At 44.2% G+C, this 19,900-nt stretch overlaps 1 long non-coding RNA gene across 1 annotated transcript in view, besides 3 other annotated features; it reads left to right on the forward strand.

Annotated features, from left to right (window-relative positions):
- The window catches only part of LOC101929268 (uncharacterized), a 146,944-nt gene that overhangs the window by 72,357 nt on the left and 54,687 nt on the right, over nt 1–19,900 (forward strand). The gene's annotated exons all lie outside the window — the stretch shown is intronic.
- Nucleotides 221–725: an enhancer, noted in NCBI's record as "H3K4me1 hESC enhancer chr8:49536704-49537208 (GRCh37/hg19 assembly coordinates)". NCBI's record gives its function as "activates a minimal SCP1, AML or CMV promoter by ChIP-STARR-seq in primed H9 embryonic stem cells {active_cell/tissue: H9 hESC(primed)}" and the evidence as "EXISTENCE:reporter gene assay evidence [ECO:0000049][PMID:30033119]".
- Nucleotides 3,298–4,497: an enhancer, noted in NCBI's record as "P300/CBP strongly-dependent group 1 enhancer chr8:49539781-49540980 (GRCh37/hg19 assembly coordinates)". NCBI's record gives its function as "activates an origin of replication core promoter dependent on BRD2, BRD4, P300/CBP, MED14 and CDK7 cofactors, with strong dependence on P300/CBP, by STARR-seq in HCT116 cells {active_cell/tissue: HCT116}" and the evidence as "EXISTENCE:reporter gene assay evidence [ECO:0000049][PMID:35650434]".
- Nucleotides 12,894–14,093: an enhancer, noted in NCBI's record as "BRD4-independent group 4 enhancer chr8:49549377-49550576 (GRCh37/hg19 assembly coordinates)". NCBI's record gives its function as "activates an origin of replication core promoter dependent on BRD2, P300/CBP, MED14 and CDK7 cofactors, and independent of BRD4, by STARR-seq in HCT116 cells {active_cell/tissue: HCT116}" and the evidence as "EXISTENCE:reporter gene assay evidence [ECO:0000049][PMID:35650434]".

The following is a 19,900-nucleotide window of genomic DNA, read 5'->3' on the forward strand; positions in this document are numbered from 1 at the left end:
GCCTTCAGAAGGGGAGAGGGTCCTTCCCTGGGGGCTTCCACAGACTTCATAGAAGGCAATGCTGTAAGGTGATGATCCACCGGAGGGGATAGAGGGTGGGGACAGGGAGATGGAGGCTTTCTCAGAATCCATGGCACACCTCCTGGGCAATTGGAGCTCAAGCTTGTATTTTGGCGAGAAAGTCAAGCAGAGCTGTAGCCCGGTGAGATGCATTAGTCAGTGCAACAGTAGGGAAGACGTTTCCAAAGAGGGTCGCCTTGCATGTGGAGAGATTTCTTGGTTTGATGAAAAAACCTGGGGAGGGAATAGTGTGACTGGAGGGACTTGGATCAGGGTCCTCTGGCGCAGGTGGCCTGGGCCGTGGGAAGCCCTGGGTGCACCCTGCTCTATGCTGAGCTGGGCTCTGGAAAGCCTCTGTGCTTGCGTCTCACCTCATCGCCCTCAGAGCGTTGCCCCCGTCTTGCCACTCTCTCTCTCAGCCTCATTTTGTCCCCTCTCCCTGCACACCAAGCTCTGCCTGGGCCCCTGTACCCTCCACATGGAGCTTGCACCCAGGAGATCTCATCCAGGGCCTGGTTTGAAATTCCATTTGTATACCAAGAACTTTTCAGTCCTTTTGTCCATCCTTGGCGGGCCTCAGAGCCCACTCCCTCCAACCTCACAACAATTCCACCTGTCTTCTTGCCATGCCCACTGGGGTATCCAATGGGAATTTCAAAGTTAACAGGGATACATGTTAGGTTTTTATCACCACCCCCTCTCCTTCCCCCACCCCCAGAATTTTCATTTCAGGAAATGAGACCACCACCCACTCAGTTCACTTGAGTGAAAACAATGGGGCTTCCGCGATTCCTTCCGTCCCCACTCCCACACACCCAGCCTGCTGACGAGCACCGCTTCCTCTCCCTCCAAGTGCACCCGGGCATCCTCCCCTCAGCCCTGCTGCCCTCAGCCCCCTCATCCTGTCTGGCCCAGGCCGGCAACAGGCCCCCATGTGGCTTCCCTGTGCCCCTGGCCTTCCACTACGGAGTCCCCACGCAGCTGCCCGGAGGATCTTTTGAAACTGTCATCAGATGACTGCCCTGCCGCACAGGAACCCCCAGTGTCCTGATAACATCAGCGTGGTCCTTCTGCCCTGTCCTGGCTTACTAAGCTCTGATCTGCCCGCCTGACCATAGCTAGTCTTCCTCTTCCTGGAGCACTAGCTGGTCCCTCCGCTGGCCTGGCCGTTTCCCAGCCCAGGACGCCCCTGCCCTTGCTCCCCATGCCTGGGTCCTTCAGCACCCTGAAGCCAGCCCCTGCAGAGGGCTCTCTGAGCTGTTAACCTGACGCAGAACCTGCTGTGGCCTCTGGGCTTTCCAGCCCTGCTCTGTGGCTGTTAGTGTCAGGCGCGGCTCTGGGCGGTCTTTGATGCCTTCCTGTCCTTTTCCCCAAATCGCATCTGTGCGTATGAGCAGAGGGGAGTTAGTGCACACCCAGGCCCTGAGGTGGCACCTGGTTTGCAGCAAGTGCTCACTGCATCTTTGTGGAGAGCTTAGCTTTGGTGAACGCCCCCTGAGGCCCATGCCCCCGCGGACTCTCTGCAGGCTGGGTGGGGCACAGCCATAGCAGGTGTCTCCTGGGGGGCCGGCACAGCTCGGAGCCCCAAGGCCGCCAAAGAGCTAACTAGCTCAGGGGATCCCATTTCCCTTGGCTGAGGGACCCACAGCCCGCGCATCCCAGGACCAGCTCCCTGGACGGGTCTGTGCGCCTCTCCAAAGGCGCTTCCGTGGAGTGCTGGCAGGGTTCTGGGAAGGGCGGGAGACTGGGCAATGCTGGCCTCCCCACTCCAGCCAGACCTTCTCCCTCCCTCCCCTCGGAGCAGGGAGGACCTGATTCAAACAGCCCAGGAAACCTCTGGTGTCCCCAGCAGCCTTTCGGGGCCAGGGATTTTATTTTAGAGCTTTGTCAGCAGTGGACCGCAGGGACTCCCAGTGCTGGTCCCCAGTCGTACAACCTGAGTTAGGAGCTGGGCGCCAACTGTGTGTGTGAGAGTTGTGAGTGTGGGTATTCATGTATGTGGATGTAAGTGTGTGAGTGTGTGTATTCATGTGTGAGTGTGTGAACATGTACGTGTGTGAGCATTGTGCATGTGAATATCTGTATGAGTGTAAGGGTGTGAGCATGTGTGTGTGGACATGCATGTGTCTGTGTGTATAAGGATGTGTTTATGAGTATGTGTGTGGTGTATTTTTATGTATGTGAGAGTGAATGTGTGAGTGTGATGTGTGTAAATTGGCTGCGTGAGTGTATGAGAATGTGTGTAGTGTGTGCAAGTGTGTGAGCATGTGAGTGCGAGATGTGTGTAAGTGTGCAAGTAAGCGTGTTAGTATGTGTGATGTGTAAATGTGTATGTGTGTGAGTGTATCTGTGTGTGATAGGTTGTACAAATGAGGGTGTGCGCATGAGAGGTGCGTCTGCAAGTGACAAAGTGTGGTGTGTATGTAGTGCATGTTTGTGTGTGAGCATGTGTGTGAGGTGTGTGCAAGTGTTTGTGTGTGTATGCTCTTGTGCAAGTCAGTGTGTGAGCATGTGTGGGAGGTGTGTAAGTGCGAGTGTGTGTGTGTGTGAGAGAGAGAGAGAGAGATGGATGAGGAGGAGAGCCAGTGGATACAAGAAGCCGGGCTGTGGGGTATCTGAGGAAGAAGGGGCCTTGCTGAGGGGTCACGGGGGCTTTGGAATTGCAGGTGATGTCCAGAGGGCATCGGCGTCTGTGTGTGAGGACCTGGGACACCATAAGGGGCACAGGAAAGACAAAGAGGGCGGCACAGACCCAGGCTCAGGGCAGCTGCCCGGTTTGCCTCGTGCACACTGATCGGCTGGGGTTCTCGTCCTCCTCATTCCCAGCTTCTGGATCCCACAGCAGGCACTGCTGATTCTCTTCTCCGGTCCCGGAGAGTCACTAGGATGTGTGTGTTACCCCTCCCCCTTCCCACAGACTTTAGTCTACTTTTTATTTTAATTAATTAATTAATTAATTAATTTATTTATTTATTTTTTATTATTATTTTGAGACGGAGTCTTGCTCTTTCGCCCAGGCAGGAGTACAACGGCGTGATCTCGGCTCACTGCAAGCTCTGCCTCCAGGGTTCACGCCATTCTCTTGCCTCAGCCTCCCGAGTAGCTGGGACTACAGGCACCTGCCACCATGCCCGGCTAATTTTTTGCATTTTTTAGTAGAGACGGGGTTTCACCATGTTAGCCAGGATGGTCTCGATCTGCTGACCTTGGGATCCACCCGCTTTGGCCTCCCAAAGTGCTGAGATTACAAGCGTGAGCCACTGCGCCCGGCCAGACTTTAGTCAGCTTTATTAATCATCTTTCTGGAATGTAATTTATAGCAATACCATTGACTCTAAGATGTTATCCGGTATGACACATTCCAACTTCTGAGGAGTGAAGAGGTGAAATTATAAGAGATGGTGGCCTGTTTGTCCTCTCCTGCCTTGGGAAGCCCAGGGGTTCCCAGGGGCCTGGCCACTGCCTGGGCTGCCAAGCTCAGGAGCCCAGCCCAGCTTCCAGGGCCTGGGGTGCACAGGCAGGGTTGGGGTGGAGAGGCCCAGGGTCATCCTGGTATCCTGCTTCCTGCCCCACACCTCAGCTGCTCTCTAGGGTCTGCTATGTTGGAGAAGGCTCCAGGAGCCCCTGGATCATTCTGAGCTAGGTCCAGTGTACTATTTTTCTGGGATCTTTGGGAAGCAACTTCTATTCCACAAGGATCTCCCAGTTCAGCTGCCCCCAAACCAACGCCCCCAGAGCAGTTTTCGGTTCATTTGGTGAGTACCTGCGCACAGACCTGAGCCTCACTGCGGGCCAAGGATGACTCCAGGCTTGAGGGCCACTGTGCCTCCAAGCACTTCCTGACGGACACACGCGTCCTGTCAGATATGATAGATACTTAGGATACATATCGCAATTATTAACAGTATATTTTTATATCTTACAAAAATAAGATCACGTTGCGGCTTCACAGTCTTGACAAATTACACTGTAACCCTGTAAAAGAAGAGAGTAAAATAATGTTTGGTTTTTATTTTTAATGAAGTTTTTATTTTGGATTAACTTTGTTTTTTTGTTTGTTTTTGAGATGGAGTCTCGCTCTGTCACCCAGGATGTAGTGCAATGGTGTGATACTGGCTCACTGCAATCTCCGCCTTCTGGGTTCAAGCGATCCTCTTGCCTCAGCCTCCCGCGTAGCTGGGATTACAGGTGCCCACCACCATGAGTGGATAATTTTTGTATTTTTAGTAGAGGTGGGGTTTCACCATGTTGGCCAGGCTGGTCTCAAACTCCTGACCACAGGTGATCCTCCCACTTTGGCCTCCCAAAGTGCTGGGATTACAGGCATGACCTAACTTGGGTTTTATAGATAAGCTACAAGTACAAGAAGTTCCTGTCTACCCTTCACCCCATTGTCTCATGTATTAATATCTTACATAATTGTGCTATATTTGTCAAAATTAAGAGATTAACATTGGTAAATTACTGTTAACCAAGCTCCAGACTTTATTCAAATTTCTCAGGCTTTTCCACGGATGCCTTCTTCTGTCCCAGGATCCCACTGAAGATGCCACGTGACAGTTAGTTGTGTCTCTGGAGTCCCCTCTGAGACAGTCACTCAGGCTGTCTTTGTTTTTCATGGCCGTGGCAGTTTTGAAGAGTAGTGGTCAGACAAACCTGTAGAATGTTCCTCAGCTTGGGTTTATCTGATGTTTCCTCATGATTAGACTGAGGTTACAGGTTTGTGGAAAGAATACCACAGAGGGAATGTGACCTGCTCCTATCAGGGGTACATGGTGTGAATATGACATCACTGATGTTAACCTTGATCACTTGGCTAAGGTGCTGGCTGCCAGGAATCCTCACCGCAAAGTCACCACCTTTCCCTTCCCACACCCTGTTCTTTGGAAGTGAGTCACCTGGTCCCACTCACACTGAGGGAGGGGAACTGAGCCCCGCTTCTGGGTGGGAATCTGCACAGATTATTTGGAATGCTTCTTGAAGGACAATTCGTTTCTTCTTCCCCATTTATTTATTTACTCAATGATTTATTTCAATCAGTATGGACTCATGTATATGTATTTTATACCTTAAGCTATAATCCAATGCTATATTTTGTGTTTTGATGTTCAGATTCTTCCAGCTTTGTCCACGGGCAGCACTCTCAGGATGGTTCCTGGTCCCTTTGGCATGCCTTCATTTGTTTGCTTTGTGAGCACTTCCTTGATTTCTGGCATTATAAGATGCTGTAGGTCATCTTGTGTATCCCCTGCCCTAGGCCTAGGATCAGCCATTTCTCCAAGGAGCCCTTGTTTCTTTTATTGGAGGATATTATGTAGAAACCAAGATCTGGCCATAGTTGTACTCATTGCTGCTAGGGTGTCATTCTGTCTGGGCCTTCCCCAACAGACAGAGCTAGGAAATACATGAGTGGCTATTAACCCAGGTGTACACATGTATTTATAATTGCTTCTGTATTCATGTATATCTCTCTATATATAATGATAAACTAAGTGTTAAGTTTATACTGATATCTCTGACTCTAATCCAGTAGTCCAGGGTTAATTCTAGACTTCCTCTCTTGCTTTTTTTTTTAAAAATAACTTGTGTTGTGACAATGAGAAACCAGACCCCTATTGTCATTTATTCATTTATTTGTTCAATCCTAGTATAGACATAAAGAACTTTCTGAATTGTTAAAACAGTTTTACCAACTACAGTATAGTGTATATACAGTTTCATTTTAACTTTTAAATAAACAATTTTTATAAGAGCTTTATATGTACAGAAAAACTGGAAATTGTACAGAGTTATCATATAGTCCATATGCAGTTTTCCCTGTTATTAACATCTTATATTAGTATGGTGCATTTGTGATTAATTAATATGACAATTAGTGATCTTAGTACATTTGGGCAGCTATAACAAAACACCATAGACTAGGTAAGGGAAAAACAGCAGGCATTTATTTCTCACAGTTCCGGAGGCTGGAAAATCCAAGATCAAGCTGCCAGCATAATCAGTGTCTGGTGAGGGCTTGTTTTCTGGCTCGTAGGTGGCATCTTCTCTGTGTGTCCTTACATGGTGAAAGGGGTGAGGCAGCTCTCTGGGGCCTCATCCCATTCATAAGGGATGTACCTTCATGAGCTGGTCACCTCCCAAAGGCTTTATGTCTTAATATCATCACATCAGGAATTAGCTTTCAGCATATGAATCTCTGGGGCATACAAACATTCACAAAGCCAATACCTATTTCAGGTTTTCTTGTTTTGACCTTTTTGCGTTATTTCTGTCCCAGCATCCCATCTAGGATACCGTATTACATTAGTTGACATAGCCCCTCATGACAGTGACAATTTCTCAGACTTAGCTTGTTTTTGATGAGCTTAGCAACTTCGAGGAATGCTGGTCAGGTATTTTGTAGAATGTCCTGCTGTTGAGATTTTTCACATGTTTTTCTCATGGTTAGACTGGTGTTGTGGGTTTTCTGCACAGAGATAAACTGCCATTTCCATCATGTCATATCAAGGTTACATACTATGAACACGACTCATCACTGCTGATGTGAACCTTGGTCACCTGGCTGCAGTGGTGGTGCTCAGGTATCTCCTCTGTGAAGCCACCCCCTCCCATCCTGTGCTCCTTGGAAGGAGGTGACTGCACAGCCCACACTTAAGGAGTGGGGAGTTAGGCTTACCCCCTTCAGGGTGAAATGTCTACATAAATTATTTGGAATTCTTCTGCATAGGAGATGTGTCTCTTCTTCCCAAGTATTTATTTGTTTATTCAGGCATTTATTTAGTTATATGAGTATGGACTAATGGACATTTATTTTATACTTTGAGTTATGGTCCAACACGACTTAATTTTGTGGCCTGAATTGTTCCAGCTTTGTCCAATGGGAGCTATTTCAGTTGGCTCCTGTGTCTCTTCCACATCAATTAAAAATTTTTTTTTAGCACTTTCTTACTTTCTGGCACTACAAGATGCTCCTGACTCATATTACATATTTTCTGTCCCAGGCCTAGACTCAGCCATTTCTCCAGTGTGCCCTGGTTCTTCTCACTGGAGAACGGTATTTAAAACCATGCTGGTGCTCCTGGAGTGTTTTTGTTTCTGGGTCCTCTTAGCCTACATAGTGTGGAGGTATGTGTGTGTATAGTAACTCTGGTATATACACTTATCTATAAATAATTATATATAAAACTAGCTGTGTCTATTTTAAGCAAAACAGAAATTCATACTGATGTCTCTCATCCATTACCCCATGAGTAATTCTAGCTTTTTTCTTTTGCTTATCTCTAACCTCCCGCTTCAACAGTAAGAAGCAGGAAGCAGGCTCCTACCATCTGCCATCCATTAGTTATTCATTTCCAGTGTTCATCTATAGCAGTATCAGAATTGTTAACCAGTACCCCCATGGGAAACAGCTTTATCAACTAAAGTAGAGTGCTTACGGACAGTTTCTTTTGTCTGTAGTCCTATAGACCCTGCTCATTCCTAGAGTTGCTTAAGTCAACACTTTTCCACCCTAACCCCTTTGGGGAGATTGTTTGTTAATACAGCTAGATTCTTTTGTCACATATTGCATTCCATCCTGGGGTACCTCGACCTCCTGAACAATTTTAGTTTTAAATTAGCATCCATTAAGATTCATTCTATGTGCCATAAAGTTCTATGTGTTTTGACAAATAGCACTCTGTATCCACAATTATAGGATCATACGGATTAGTTTAAACTCTTTAAAAAAACCCTATGCTCCACCTATTAAACTCTCCCCGCTTCCCCAAAATTTCTGGCACCCTTTGATCCTTTTAATGTCTCTGTAGTTTTGCCATTTTCAGAAAGTCCTATAATTGCAATTATTGGTATGGGGCCTTTTCTGACTGGCCTCTGTTACTTAGCAGTATGCATTTACATTTTCTCTATGTCTTTTTGTCGCTTTATTTCTTTGTATTGCTGAATAATATTCCAATATATGAAAGTAGCAAGGCTGTTTATCCAATATTGGTTGCTTCTACCCTTGGCAGTTATGAAGAATGTTTCTATAAACATTTGTGTACAGGGTTTCTTGTGAACATGCCTCTTTAATATGCTTGGGTAGACACTTACGAGTGGATTGCTGGGTTTTATGGTATGTCTGTTTAACTTTGTAAGAAACTGCCAAACTATCTTCCAGATTGGAAGACATTTTCCTTTCCCACCAGCAGTGAATAGGAATTATTTTTGTCTTGCCTTCTAGATAACATTTACTATTATCTTGTTTTAGGATCGTCACCTTTCAATAGGTATGTAGTAGTAACTCATTAAAATGTTAATTTGCATTTTTATAATGATAATTGGGGTCTACATGCTATTTACCATCTATACATCATTGTTGAAATTTGCCCTTCTTTTTAGTGTTATTTTTTATTGTTGAGTTTTAAGAGTTCTTTATAAACTCTGGATATGTTTCTTATCAGATATATGATTTGTGGGCCAGGTGAGGTGGCTTGCGCCTGTAATCCCAGCATTTTGGGTGGCTGAGGTGGGCAGATTGCTTGAGGTAAGGAATTCAAGACCAGCCTGGCCAACATGGTGAAATGCCGTTTTTACTAAAAGTACAAAAATTATCCAGGCATGGTGGCACACACCTGTAATCCCAGCTACTCAGGAGGCTGAGCCAGGAGAATTGCTTGAACCTGAGAGGTGGAGGTTGCAGTGAGCTGAGATCCAGTCTGGATGACAGAGCAAGACTCCATATCAAAAAAAAAAAAAAAAATACATGATCTGTAAACATTTTCTTTCAATCTATGATTTGTCCTTTCATCCTATATTAGTGTCTTTCATAGGTGGAAAGTTTTTAATTTTAAATTTTTTCTTTCATTAACAGTGCTTTTGGTATAGTTCTTATCTTGATCCCATTCTTTTAACATTTGTGGATTGGATGTGTGAAGTTTCTTAGATTTAAAAGTTGCCTTGTCAGTTTTAAAAATATTCTTTTGGAATTTCAAATAACCCAAGAAGAGTCATTCTAATTACATAGCAAAATTGAACCTGGTTAATAATTATAGAAAACACCACGAAACTTCCACAGTCTTTTAAAAATGACCATATGTATTGTTTCTTGCAAAAGTTTTGAAAACTAAGCTAACAGGTTTGTGCATTGTAAAAATTTTTTTGAATTATTATGATACTATATTTATATTAAATTTCTTTATGGATTGCACTAGTTTAGGTGCTCTTTAAACAGGCCACTTATATAGAGTCTGCCCTTTAATACCTGCATTAATAACAGTAGCACCTATTTATTAACTCCCTCTGTGTGGAAGATATGCAAAGCACTTCACATGAATTCTTCTATTCACTCATCATTATTGTAAGCAGTCAGCATTACTGCTTCTGTCTTATAGTGGGGGACACAGTGCAGAGAGGCTGGATGCCTTGAACTTGCAATTCACAAATGGAGAGCCAGGGAACTGGATAAAGTCCATTGCCTCTATAAGATGCCCCTGAGAAAGCAGGAGTACCAATGAATGGCTCCATGGAATAGCTGCTGGGAATCCAGATACAGAATTATAGAAGTACAGAGCTGAGAGGGACCTTGGACTTCTTGTAGTCCAGCGTTGGGACATTTGGCTGCACGTCGGAATCCCGTGGAAAGATGGGATAAAATACGAACACTGCCCAACCCCAGCTGTGACCTCATACCTTTAACCATTTCATGCCACGTGGTTCCAAGATTTCACTTTGCCGCTGGGAGACTCTGATTTGATTAGACAGAGGTCTGGCCTGAGTAGAGAAAAATGTTAAAGCAGCCAGATGACTCTAAAGCGCAGCCAAGGTTATGAACCACTGTTATAGTCCAAACTCCTGCTGAATGTTGGCATTCTTCTTCAGCATTATCAGGCAGCCTCTGACTTGAAGATTTCTAGCAATGGGACACTAAGATGTGTTGACAAAAGGAGCGTATTTCATGTCAGGCAGCACTTTCTGTGCCTCGTCGCATTTAATTATCTTCAAACAATCATGATGTACTGTTAGTCATACCTGTAGTAGGAATCCCATTGTACAGATGAATGTGTTACCATCTCTTTTTTTTTTGAGACAGAGTCTTGCTCTGTCTCCCAGGCTAGAGTGCAGTGGCGAGATCTCGGCTGGCTTCAACCTCTGCCTCCCGGGTTCAAGCAATTCTTCTGCCTCAGCTTCCTCAGTAGCTGGGATTACAGGCACGCATCACCATGCCCGGCTAATTTTTGTATTTTTAGTAGAGACAGGGTTTCACCATGTTGGCCAGGCTGGTCTTGAACTCCTGACCTCGTAATCTGCCCGCCTTGGCCTCCCAAAGTGTTGGGATTACAGGCGTGAGCCACCGCGCCCGGCCTGCATCCGCATTTTTCACAGGCTCAGTGCCCGAATGAGCTGCAGTGTAGTCTGGCTGGCTCCCCAACCTGTCGCACAGGCCTTGCTCACCACTCCTGACTTTTCAAGGCAGTTGATTTCACTGTTGAATACTTCCCTATTCAAATAAAGCTCTTTACTCCAATGTTATTCGTTGCTCCGGGTTCCGTTTGTAAAGAGCAAGGCTGCACAGACCTGTCTGCTCCGTTGAGACAGTGAAGGCCGTCTCACAACCGCACCTTGGGACTCGCTTCCACATAACACCTCTTCTGTTCCTCTCACGGTTCCTCACAGCGCCAGGGCCAAGATTCTCTCGGGGCTGGTTCCCTGCCTCGCAGTCCTGCCTGACATCTTGGGGCTTTCGAAATGGGCAAGTCCTACGGCTGAGTTTTGATCCTCCCGGAGTTCAGTGGGTCTCACCCCATCCCCCATTTTCTGTTGTTTCTGCAAAAGGTTTCATTAGCTCTGCAGACAGCTGCATCACAAGTGGCTCATATTGACGGATTTTTGCTCATGAACTTCTGGCAAACAACCTGGTTTCCCAAACTTGCATTTAAATTGTTGGTGTTTTTAGGGCGGGCGCGGTGTCTCACGCCTATAATCCCAGCACTCTTGGAGGCCGAGGCGGGTGGATCACGAGGTCAGGAGATCGAGACCATCCTGGCTAACACGGAGAAACCCTGTCTCTACTAAAAATAGAAAAAAATTGGCCGGGCGTGGTGGCGGGCGCCTGTAGTCCCAGCTACTCGGGAGGCTGAGGCAGGAGAATGGCGTGAACCCTGGAGGCGGAGCTTGCAGTGAGCCGAGATCGCGCCACTGCACTCCAGCCTGGGTGACAGAGCGAGACGCCGTCTCAAAAAACAAACAAACAAAAACAAACAAACAAAAAACTTGGTTTTTTTAAAAACCCCAATACAGAACTCTCATCTGTTCTTATTAAACTTAAACATTCTCGTTTCCTACACATTATTCTTATCTATTCAGATCGTTTCATAAGATTGCCAAATATACTACCATCACCAATTATTCAGTTTTCTCACAGGGTTGTTTTTTAAATATTTGTTATACGCTTCAATAAAATCCTGATATATATTTTGTAGATACTAATTTGCTTTGAGTTATGCAAGCTACCATTTTTCCTTCCAAATTTTCAGGCATTGTACCTGACCAATTCTGCTTCACTTACTCTGCTGTCCCAATTATCTTTAGTCAGAATGGGGATTACTTCAGGCTTTCTACACAGGTGGGAGAAAAAAGCCAGACTCAGGCAATCTCTGATCCATCCCCTTCTAAGTTCACATGTTCCATCCATGTAGCTTCATGTATTAGTCATCCATTGCTGCCTAACAAATTGCCCCAAAATGTGCTGGCTTAAAACAAGAAAAATGGATGATCTCACAGTGTCTAAGGGTAAGGAATTCACGAGTGTCTTGGGTAGGAGGCTCTCGCTCAGGACCCCCCTCATGAGACTGCAGGCAAGGTGTCAGCAGGGCCTGTACCTTCTGAAGGCTTCCCTGAGGCTGGGGGCTGCTTCCCAGAAGGCTCACTTATGCGGCTGACAGCTGGAGGTCTCAGTTCCTTTCCACAGGCTTCACAGTGACCTCTAGACAGGGAGATTAACTTCCCCCAGAATGAGTGACCCAGAAGAGAGAGACCACCATACCTTTTATGACCCAGTCTGTGATGTCAGTCACCATCACATCTGCTTTATTCAAGTCATTCAAAGTGAGCCACTAAGCCTAGCCCACCCTCAAAAAGAGCAGAATTAGATTCCACCTCCTGTAGGATGGAGTGTCAAAGCATTGTGGACATATTTTTAAATTAGTACAAAACAGATATCAGAATTTTTCTCCCTAGTGCAAATAAATATTTATAGCTTTGTATGCATATTTTTGAAACCAAAAGCTAGCCCTGGGTTTGTGATAAGGAAGGCATGTGCAAAAATACAGCTGGAATGTTTATTGCTACACAACTAGCATAGAACACTCTCCTTTGCTCTCAGAGTACAGGACTCTGCACCCTCTGATCACTGCTCTTGTCTCCCATAGCAGTCACGGTCCTGCCACTTTTTGGAGAATTCTAAGTAGAGATGGGCATCTTCTTTCCTAGCATGTGATCATGTGTTTGTGTACTGCTATGGCTTAAATATGGTCTGTCCCCACCAAAACTCATGTTGAGGTTTGGTCCTCAACGCAGTGAAGTGGAGAGGTGGGGCCCAGTGGAGGAGTTTGGTTTCTGGGGCTAGATCCCTTATGAATTGATTGATGCTGGCAGGAGTGGATTTGTTCCTGAGAGAGTGAGTTATAAGGCAAGGCTGCCTCTCCTGTTTAGTCTTTTTCACAAACACCTTTTTTCTTCTGCCTTCCACCATGAGTTGAAGTAGCACGGGGCCCTCACCAGATTGGCTGCCTAATCTTGGACTTCCCAGCCTGCAGAACCATGAGCTAAATAAACCTCTTTGCTTTATGATTTATCCAGTTGCATGTTGGTATAAGTTCCATAAGAGCAGATGAAGGCTTTACCCAAAATGTGAACCATGCCTAGAAAGTTCATTTAAAATCACCCTTTTTCTTGTTTCATTTCTTATTTTTAAAAGTAAACTTTCAACTTTAGAATAGTTTTACATGTATAGAAAGTTGCAAATATAGTACAGAGAAATCCAATATACTCCATACCCAATTTCCCCTATTATTAACATCTTACATTTGTGTGGTACATTTAGTATAATTAAAGAACCAATATTGACACATTCCTATTAACAAGTCTATATAGATTTCCTTGTTTTTGCCTTATGGGCTCTTTCTGTCCCGGTACCTATGTTACATTTAGTCATTTTGTCTCCCTAGGCTCCCATTTGCCATGACAATTCCTCAGACTTTGCTTGTTTTTGATGAGCTTAGCAACTTTGAAGAAAGCTGGTCAGGTATTTTGTAGAATGTCCTGCTATTGGGATTTGTCAAATGTTTTTCTCATGATTCGATCGGTGTTGTGGGTTTTCTGCACAGAGATAAACTGCCACTTCCATCACATCATGCAAAGGTTACATACCATGAACATGATTCATCACTGCTGATGTGGACCTTGGTCACCTGGCTGTGGTAGTGCTGGTCAGGTGTTTCCTCTGTGAAGCTACCCACTCCCCTCCCATGCTCTTTGGAATGAGGTGACTGTGTACAGCCCACATTTAAGGAGTGGGGAGTTAGGCTCACCTCCTTCAGGGTGAAATGACTGCATAAATTATTTAGAATTATTTTGCACATATTTGTCTCTTCTCTCTCATGATCCAGTATTATTTTATTTTGTTGCTCGACTTTATTCCAACTTTGTCTAGTGGATACATCTGGCAGCACCTTTCACATTCCCTGTTCCAGTCTTTGAATTAGTTTCTCCAGCGAGTTCTGATTCCTTTCCTTGGGCAATAGTGCTAAAAACCAAGATCTGGGTGCTGGGTGTGCTTATTGCTATTGTGGTGCCTTTGCTTCTGGGTCTTCTCAGCCTACAGAGCAAGAAGATACGTGTGTGTACTGTAACCACTGTATATACACTTATCTATACATAATTGTATGTCTGTTATCTATCTATCTATCTAATAAATATGTATTTAATGAAACAGGAGTTTCTTCATCCAGATGTCTCCACTTTCATCCATTACCCCGTGGACATTTCTAGCCTTGTCCCTTTGCTTACTTGTAACCTCTCCCCTCCAACAGTGAAAAACAGGTTCCCACCATCTGACATGCATTTGTTTCATTGTTCAGTTCCTGTGTACCTCTATACAGTATCAGAATTGTTAGCACACGACCCCATGGGAACAATGTTATTAATCAAAGTAAAGTGCTTATGGACAATTTATTTTGCCTTTACACTTACAAACTTCATTTATTATTATTTTTTCATTGGTCTCTGCAAACCTACTTTTCTTTTTTCATAAACTTCATTTGTTTTAAAAGTTACTTAGGTCAGCACCTTTATTCCTCCAACCCCTTCACTGAAGTATTAGAATTTCTGGTGGATAATCTTATTTTATGTGAGTTTCAGCTCAAAATATTTGGATAAAGATGAATAAGTGTCTGAATCCTAGGATATAATTTGGGATTTGTTCATTGCCACTTAAAATAACCCTGATATGTTTCAGAGTCTGAAACGTTGACATGAACTCCTCATGGATTTCATCAAACCACGTTTGAGGGGAGAAGCTACATGACTATTTTTAGCATTTATGAGGTCAGCAATAGGTAAGTGTGTCTTGGATGAAAAAGAAAGAAAGGGGGAAAGCTAGGCTTGGTGGATTCCTTGTATTCTGTGGTTTATGTCCACACAGGCAGAGAGGCACATGGAGTTCCAGTATCCTTTGTAACACTGGGGATTTGTGTAAAGGAGCAAATGACAAGGGTTCTTGATTCAGAAGAGAATAAATACATTGTATTTCTCTGGAGCCCTGAATGATGATGAGATTCTTCCTGTGCTCTGGAGCCCTGAATGATGAAGAGAGTATTCCTGTGCTAGACCATTATTTATGTTTCTTCCGTTGAAAGTTTTGCTCTAGGAAATTCCTTCAATATTCCCCCTTTTCTTATTTTAATGAATGAAGTCTTCTCAAAATAAAATCTGGGGGAGTGAGTTATTTAAAACCCTCACAGAGGAGCCAAGGCTCTACTATTCCTTGATGCACAAATATGTGTGCCATGTTGGAAAGCTGACCTGCAATGCTTCTATCCTTGTGAGGTGGTGGATTTCCCCAGATTGAACACAAGCCATATTCCATTCTTCTGGTCTCCTACTTCACTTTCTAATGTGCTTTTTGAGTGAGCACCTAAGGATAGGGCAAGGAACTCACCCTTCGCTTTGCCCATTGCTGCTCATCCTGAGCCTGAGCCCAGCAAGTGCACATCACTTGACCCTTGCAGCTGAGCAACTTATCGGTCTAGCAGCATTCACTTCAAGCCCACATTGACATTCACTGAGTTCCCAATGCCAAGTATTTACTGTTCCCCTAAGATTTGAGCTATCAGTCAAAAGAATAATGAAGAATGCCTTCCAATCCCTACTTTAGAATTTTCTAAGTTCCTATCTATCTAAAACATCGGTTTCCCATGTAACCTGTCAGTCCGTGCCATGCTCTTCAATGCTGCTTCAAATCCTATGTGACCAGTTGCTTCTATAGCTCGGGAATTCTCCCTTTAATGTTGCAATAGCCCTGTCTGGGGATAGCTGGATAGAGCTCCCCTTGGGCATTGCTGTGACCTGGGGGTGCCTGGGTGTAATTGACCCTGCAGCTTTTTGCTTATTCCATGAAACGTACCTTGTGGTGATGTTGAAAAGTCCCAGAGCTGCAGGTTTTCAGAGGATGACTGTTTTTAACACTGCTGCATATGTAGGTGCTCTCTTTCATCGCAGACCAGGAGCTGGATTGCTAATACTGACACTGTGACCACCTGGCGAGCTAGAAGCTTCTGGATGTCATGGTTATGCCACCCTTTTGATAGGGGCATCAATACCTCCCAACCAAGCTTAACATCTTATTCTACACTTTTTTCTCAAATGTGAATACCATATTTGGGAAGAGTCCTTGTCTACTAGAGGTCTTGGCTGCATTGAGAACCTCCAAAGCTCTGGCAGTACCCATGGAAATAACCTTGGGTGTTCATTCATGCCAGGCCTTCCTCTCTTGGTCAAGACCCACACCAGAGCCAACCTACATGCACCGGGGGCTGCATGTGATGTAAGGGAGAATGATGTGAGTGTGCCAATCAGTTGTTTTCCTGTAGCCCCCATCTTTTGGCTCTTAACCAGGAAGACATCTTCAACTCATGCCTCACACCTTCTTTCTCACATTGAATTCACCAAAATCCTGCAGACATTTTGTCCCCAATGTTTGTGTCTTCCCAGTTCTACTACCATTGGCCCTAATTTCACCCTTTTTCAAATCTAGCAGGACCCTGTAGCCATCCACCCCCCCGTTTTGTTCTCTTGCAATCCATCCTTCACTCAGTTCTCAAAGTGATGCAGCCCTCATTGCTTCCCATGACCTCCACAATGAGGTACTTGAAGGATTTTGTTTGACTGCCTGCTTACCTCCCGAGCTGTGTTTAGACACTCCCCACCTCATACTTGTTGCTCTAGAACGGTGCTGTCCAATACAGGAGCCATCAGCCACAGTGGCTGCTGAGCACTGGAATGGGGGCCAGTCCAAACTGAGATGTGCCACGAGTCTAAAACACATAGTGGGTTTTGAAGACTTGCTATTTGAAAAAAAGACTGTCAAATGCCTCCTTAGTAATTTTTATATTGGTATCATGATGAAATGGCAACATTTTGAATCTATGTGGTTAAATAAGATATACTTTAAAGTTGATTTCAGCTGTTTTTCAATTTTAGTACAGCTACTAGAAATTTTTAATTTTAGTGTGGCTATTAGAAATGTTTTAAGTTATACTAGCAGCTTCTATTTGTGACTCACATTAGATTTCTGTCAGACAGTGTGCTGTCTAGGATCAAACTGCTGTTGTTTCCCTGAACACATTGTGCCACCTCATGCTTCCTTACTTTTGCTCTTGGTATTTCCCTTGCTTGAAACCACTCCCCACCCTTTCTAGCTAAATTCCTTATTGGTTAAAATTGAGTCAAGTAACCCCTATGTGAGCTTCCAGAGTGCACTTGCTTACCTTTATCATGGCACTTACAACAGGAGATACGTTAACATATTTGTCTTCCCTGCCAACAGGAACAGGGATGGTGTTTATTTGTTTTTGTTTTTGTTTTGTTATGTTTTGTTTTGTTTTGTCACAAACACCTGTCACATGCACCTAATAGGCCTGCATTAAATGTTGCAGAACTGAATTATGGAACAGAGTTCCGAGTCTTATATGAGAATGGGACAGCATGCTATCGTTTTGAAGTCCATAAAATGTAAATGTTGATGTAATGGAGCTTTACAATCATATTATGTCTTACTTGTAAATATACACTCGCTGGCTCATGAAAAATTAGTAAGAATTTATGATACAGTGAATGGACTAAGATGTAAATCTTGTTTATTCAATATATAAATCAGACACTAGCATTTATTGAGACTCCCCCTTGTATATACAGCACTCACTGGTGTGTTTCACTGATTCTACAGTTCTTCCACTTAGGGCAGAAATCATTTGTGTGGGCTGATGATTCTTTAAGATAATCTCAATTTCATTATTATGTAAAGTTTGGTTGCCCTTATTTACAAATTATGTAAGATACTCTGGAATTTTCTACACGATAAAGGCCCAAAACTATGAAAAGTATTTAAAAATAGAAAGCACTTTTTTTTGTTAAAAGCCCCAGATTCCCAGGCATTCTTAGGCGTCTCCTATAAGGTTGACCTCCCTGTTACTGAGTCCACTGTAATAAACATCTCTTTTCCTGTGAACATTCTGCCTGCTCCACCGTGGGGTGAAAGCCTTCCCAGTTTCCTATGGAGAGCCAAACTTTTCCCACCTCATTTTCTTTGGGGACACTTCACTTTGGGGAGATCACAACCTCAGACCTCCCCCATCACCACAGTTCATCTACCTTGTCACAATATTTAGTTTGGGGATGCACATAAAATCTGCTTGTGGCCAATACATGCTAGGAATCTTCTCAAGTTGCTGGTGGTGGGGGGTCCTCTCTTCTCGTTGGCATTACTAAGTATAAGGGCTGTGGTGTCTAGGAACCGACTTTGACCCCACGGTGGGAGCTGATTAGCCTCCCCTCTTGTGGGTACTAGTTTGAGTTGGGTTATGTCACCTGCATGCAGAGACTCTTGGAATATCATCAGGTGAACCTGAAGCCATGTGTCCTTAAGCCTTTATGTCCCCTGAGTCCCTGGGCCCTGTGTTTCCTGGAATTGACACCACACTGCAGGCACAGACAGGGTAGCACACAGAGACAGAACAGTATAGTTCTCAGGCTCTGAAACCTGTCTGTGTGGGTCCAACCTGACTCCACCCATTCCTACCTGAGTGAACTTTGGTGTTTTCTCCACAGTAAGACTCAGTTTCCTCATCTTTTAACAGGGAGTAACCAGAGAACCTGCCCAACAGGATTTTTAAATAAAGATTAAATGAGTGTATATATGTATACATATATATGTACACACACACACACACACACACACACACACACACACAGCACTTAGTATTGGATTTGGCTTATAAGTGTTCCATAAATGTCAGCTGCCATGAAGCTAGTGGTGATGAGGATGACATTCTGATACTTCTTCCTGGCAGTTTCTAGGGTCTCTGAAGACACATGAATGTGTAAGATGATTGTGTAACATGGAATGTGTAAGTTGGTTGGAGATGGAGTCTTCCAGAATCAGGCACTTTTGTTGTTGTTTTGGCTCAAACCTCCTACGTGGGCCCTGTCTCACTAGCGGATTGACCATGAGTACAGAGATCTGAAAGTTCATGGGTATTTAAGTTCATGAGTAATTAATGCAATTTAAAAACTTCCTGCAATGTTTCTTTCTGCAAAATTCAAGCCCAGAGAAATGTTTTTGTCAATGAACCACCTTCTTAAGACGTTGCGTTAATATCTTAACAAGTGACAAAGGTTTCAGCCTTTATGATGAAACGTGTGTGTGTATATGTGTGTGTGTGTATATATATATATATAGTTTCCATATCTGTATCTGTGTCACAGTAATCTGCATACCATGATACAGATTATAGGGACGTGAAACCCAGGCTGTCTTTTTGACAGCATGCTACTCTAAGGAAAGCCAGTTCTTCCCTGCCTACAGATACTTGACAAATGATTAACATCCCTCTGGTTGTAAGTAATAGAGGGAGTTGGGGGAATTACAGAGAAATGAAGAACAGTTTTCATTTTAAAACATCAATAATTAGATACCTGTTGCCTTAAGAGAGTGTTTTTCATTCTAATGGAAGTCCAGAAACTGTGGCCTAGGGGCTGTTTAATTATGGGCTAATTGGTAGCAAAAGTACTTTTTGAAAAGAGAATTGTTACATCTTTCCTGCAGACAGTAACCTAAGAAAAAAACCCTGGAAACCGCTGGGGCTTAAGAAAGAGCAAAATCCTCTCTAAAGTTGCTAAATTACCCCTTTGTATTTAAGTGATTCATCTTGATAACGTTAAGTAGGAATTCAGACTCTTCAAGATTTTCATGTTTTTTATCTTTTGAGTGATTGGGAACATTCTAGAGTGTTGTGAAAATGTGTCTGCATGTCCTGCACTTGGAAGGCTCCCGGCCCCCGCCCTCTGGCTTATCTCCCTGGGAAATGTCAGCTGGATTTCTTGTGGCTCTGGGATCCTTCACTGTCCAGCTGGACACTGGTGGAATGTCCAGCTCTGCAGCCCCAAGCGGCTCTGTTCTTAATCCGACAAGGCAGAAGTGCCAGGAGACAAGAGGCGCAAGCTCTGAGGAGCTGGGATGGCATTTCTGTGGCTCTGGGAAGTCACTGATATTCAGAACTGGGGTAAAGCTTAAAGAATCTCCTCC

Source organism: Homo sapiens, chromosome 8 (genome assembly GCF_000001405.40).
Source record: "Homo sapiens chromosome 8, GRCh38.p14 Primary Assembly".
Classification (NCBI taxonomy): domain Eukaryota; kingdom Metazoa; phylum Chordata; class Mammalia; order Primates; family Hominidae; genus Homo; species Homo sapiens.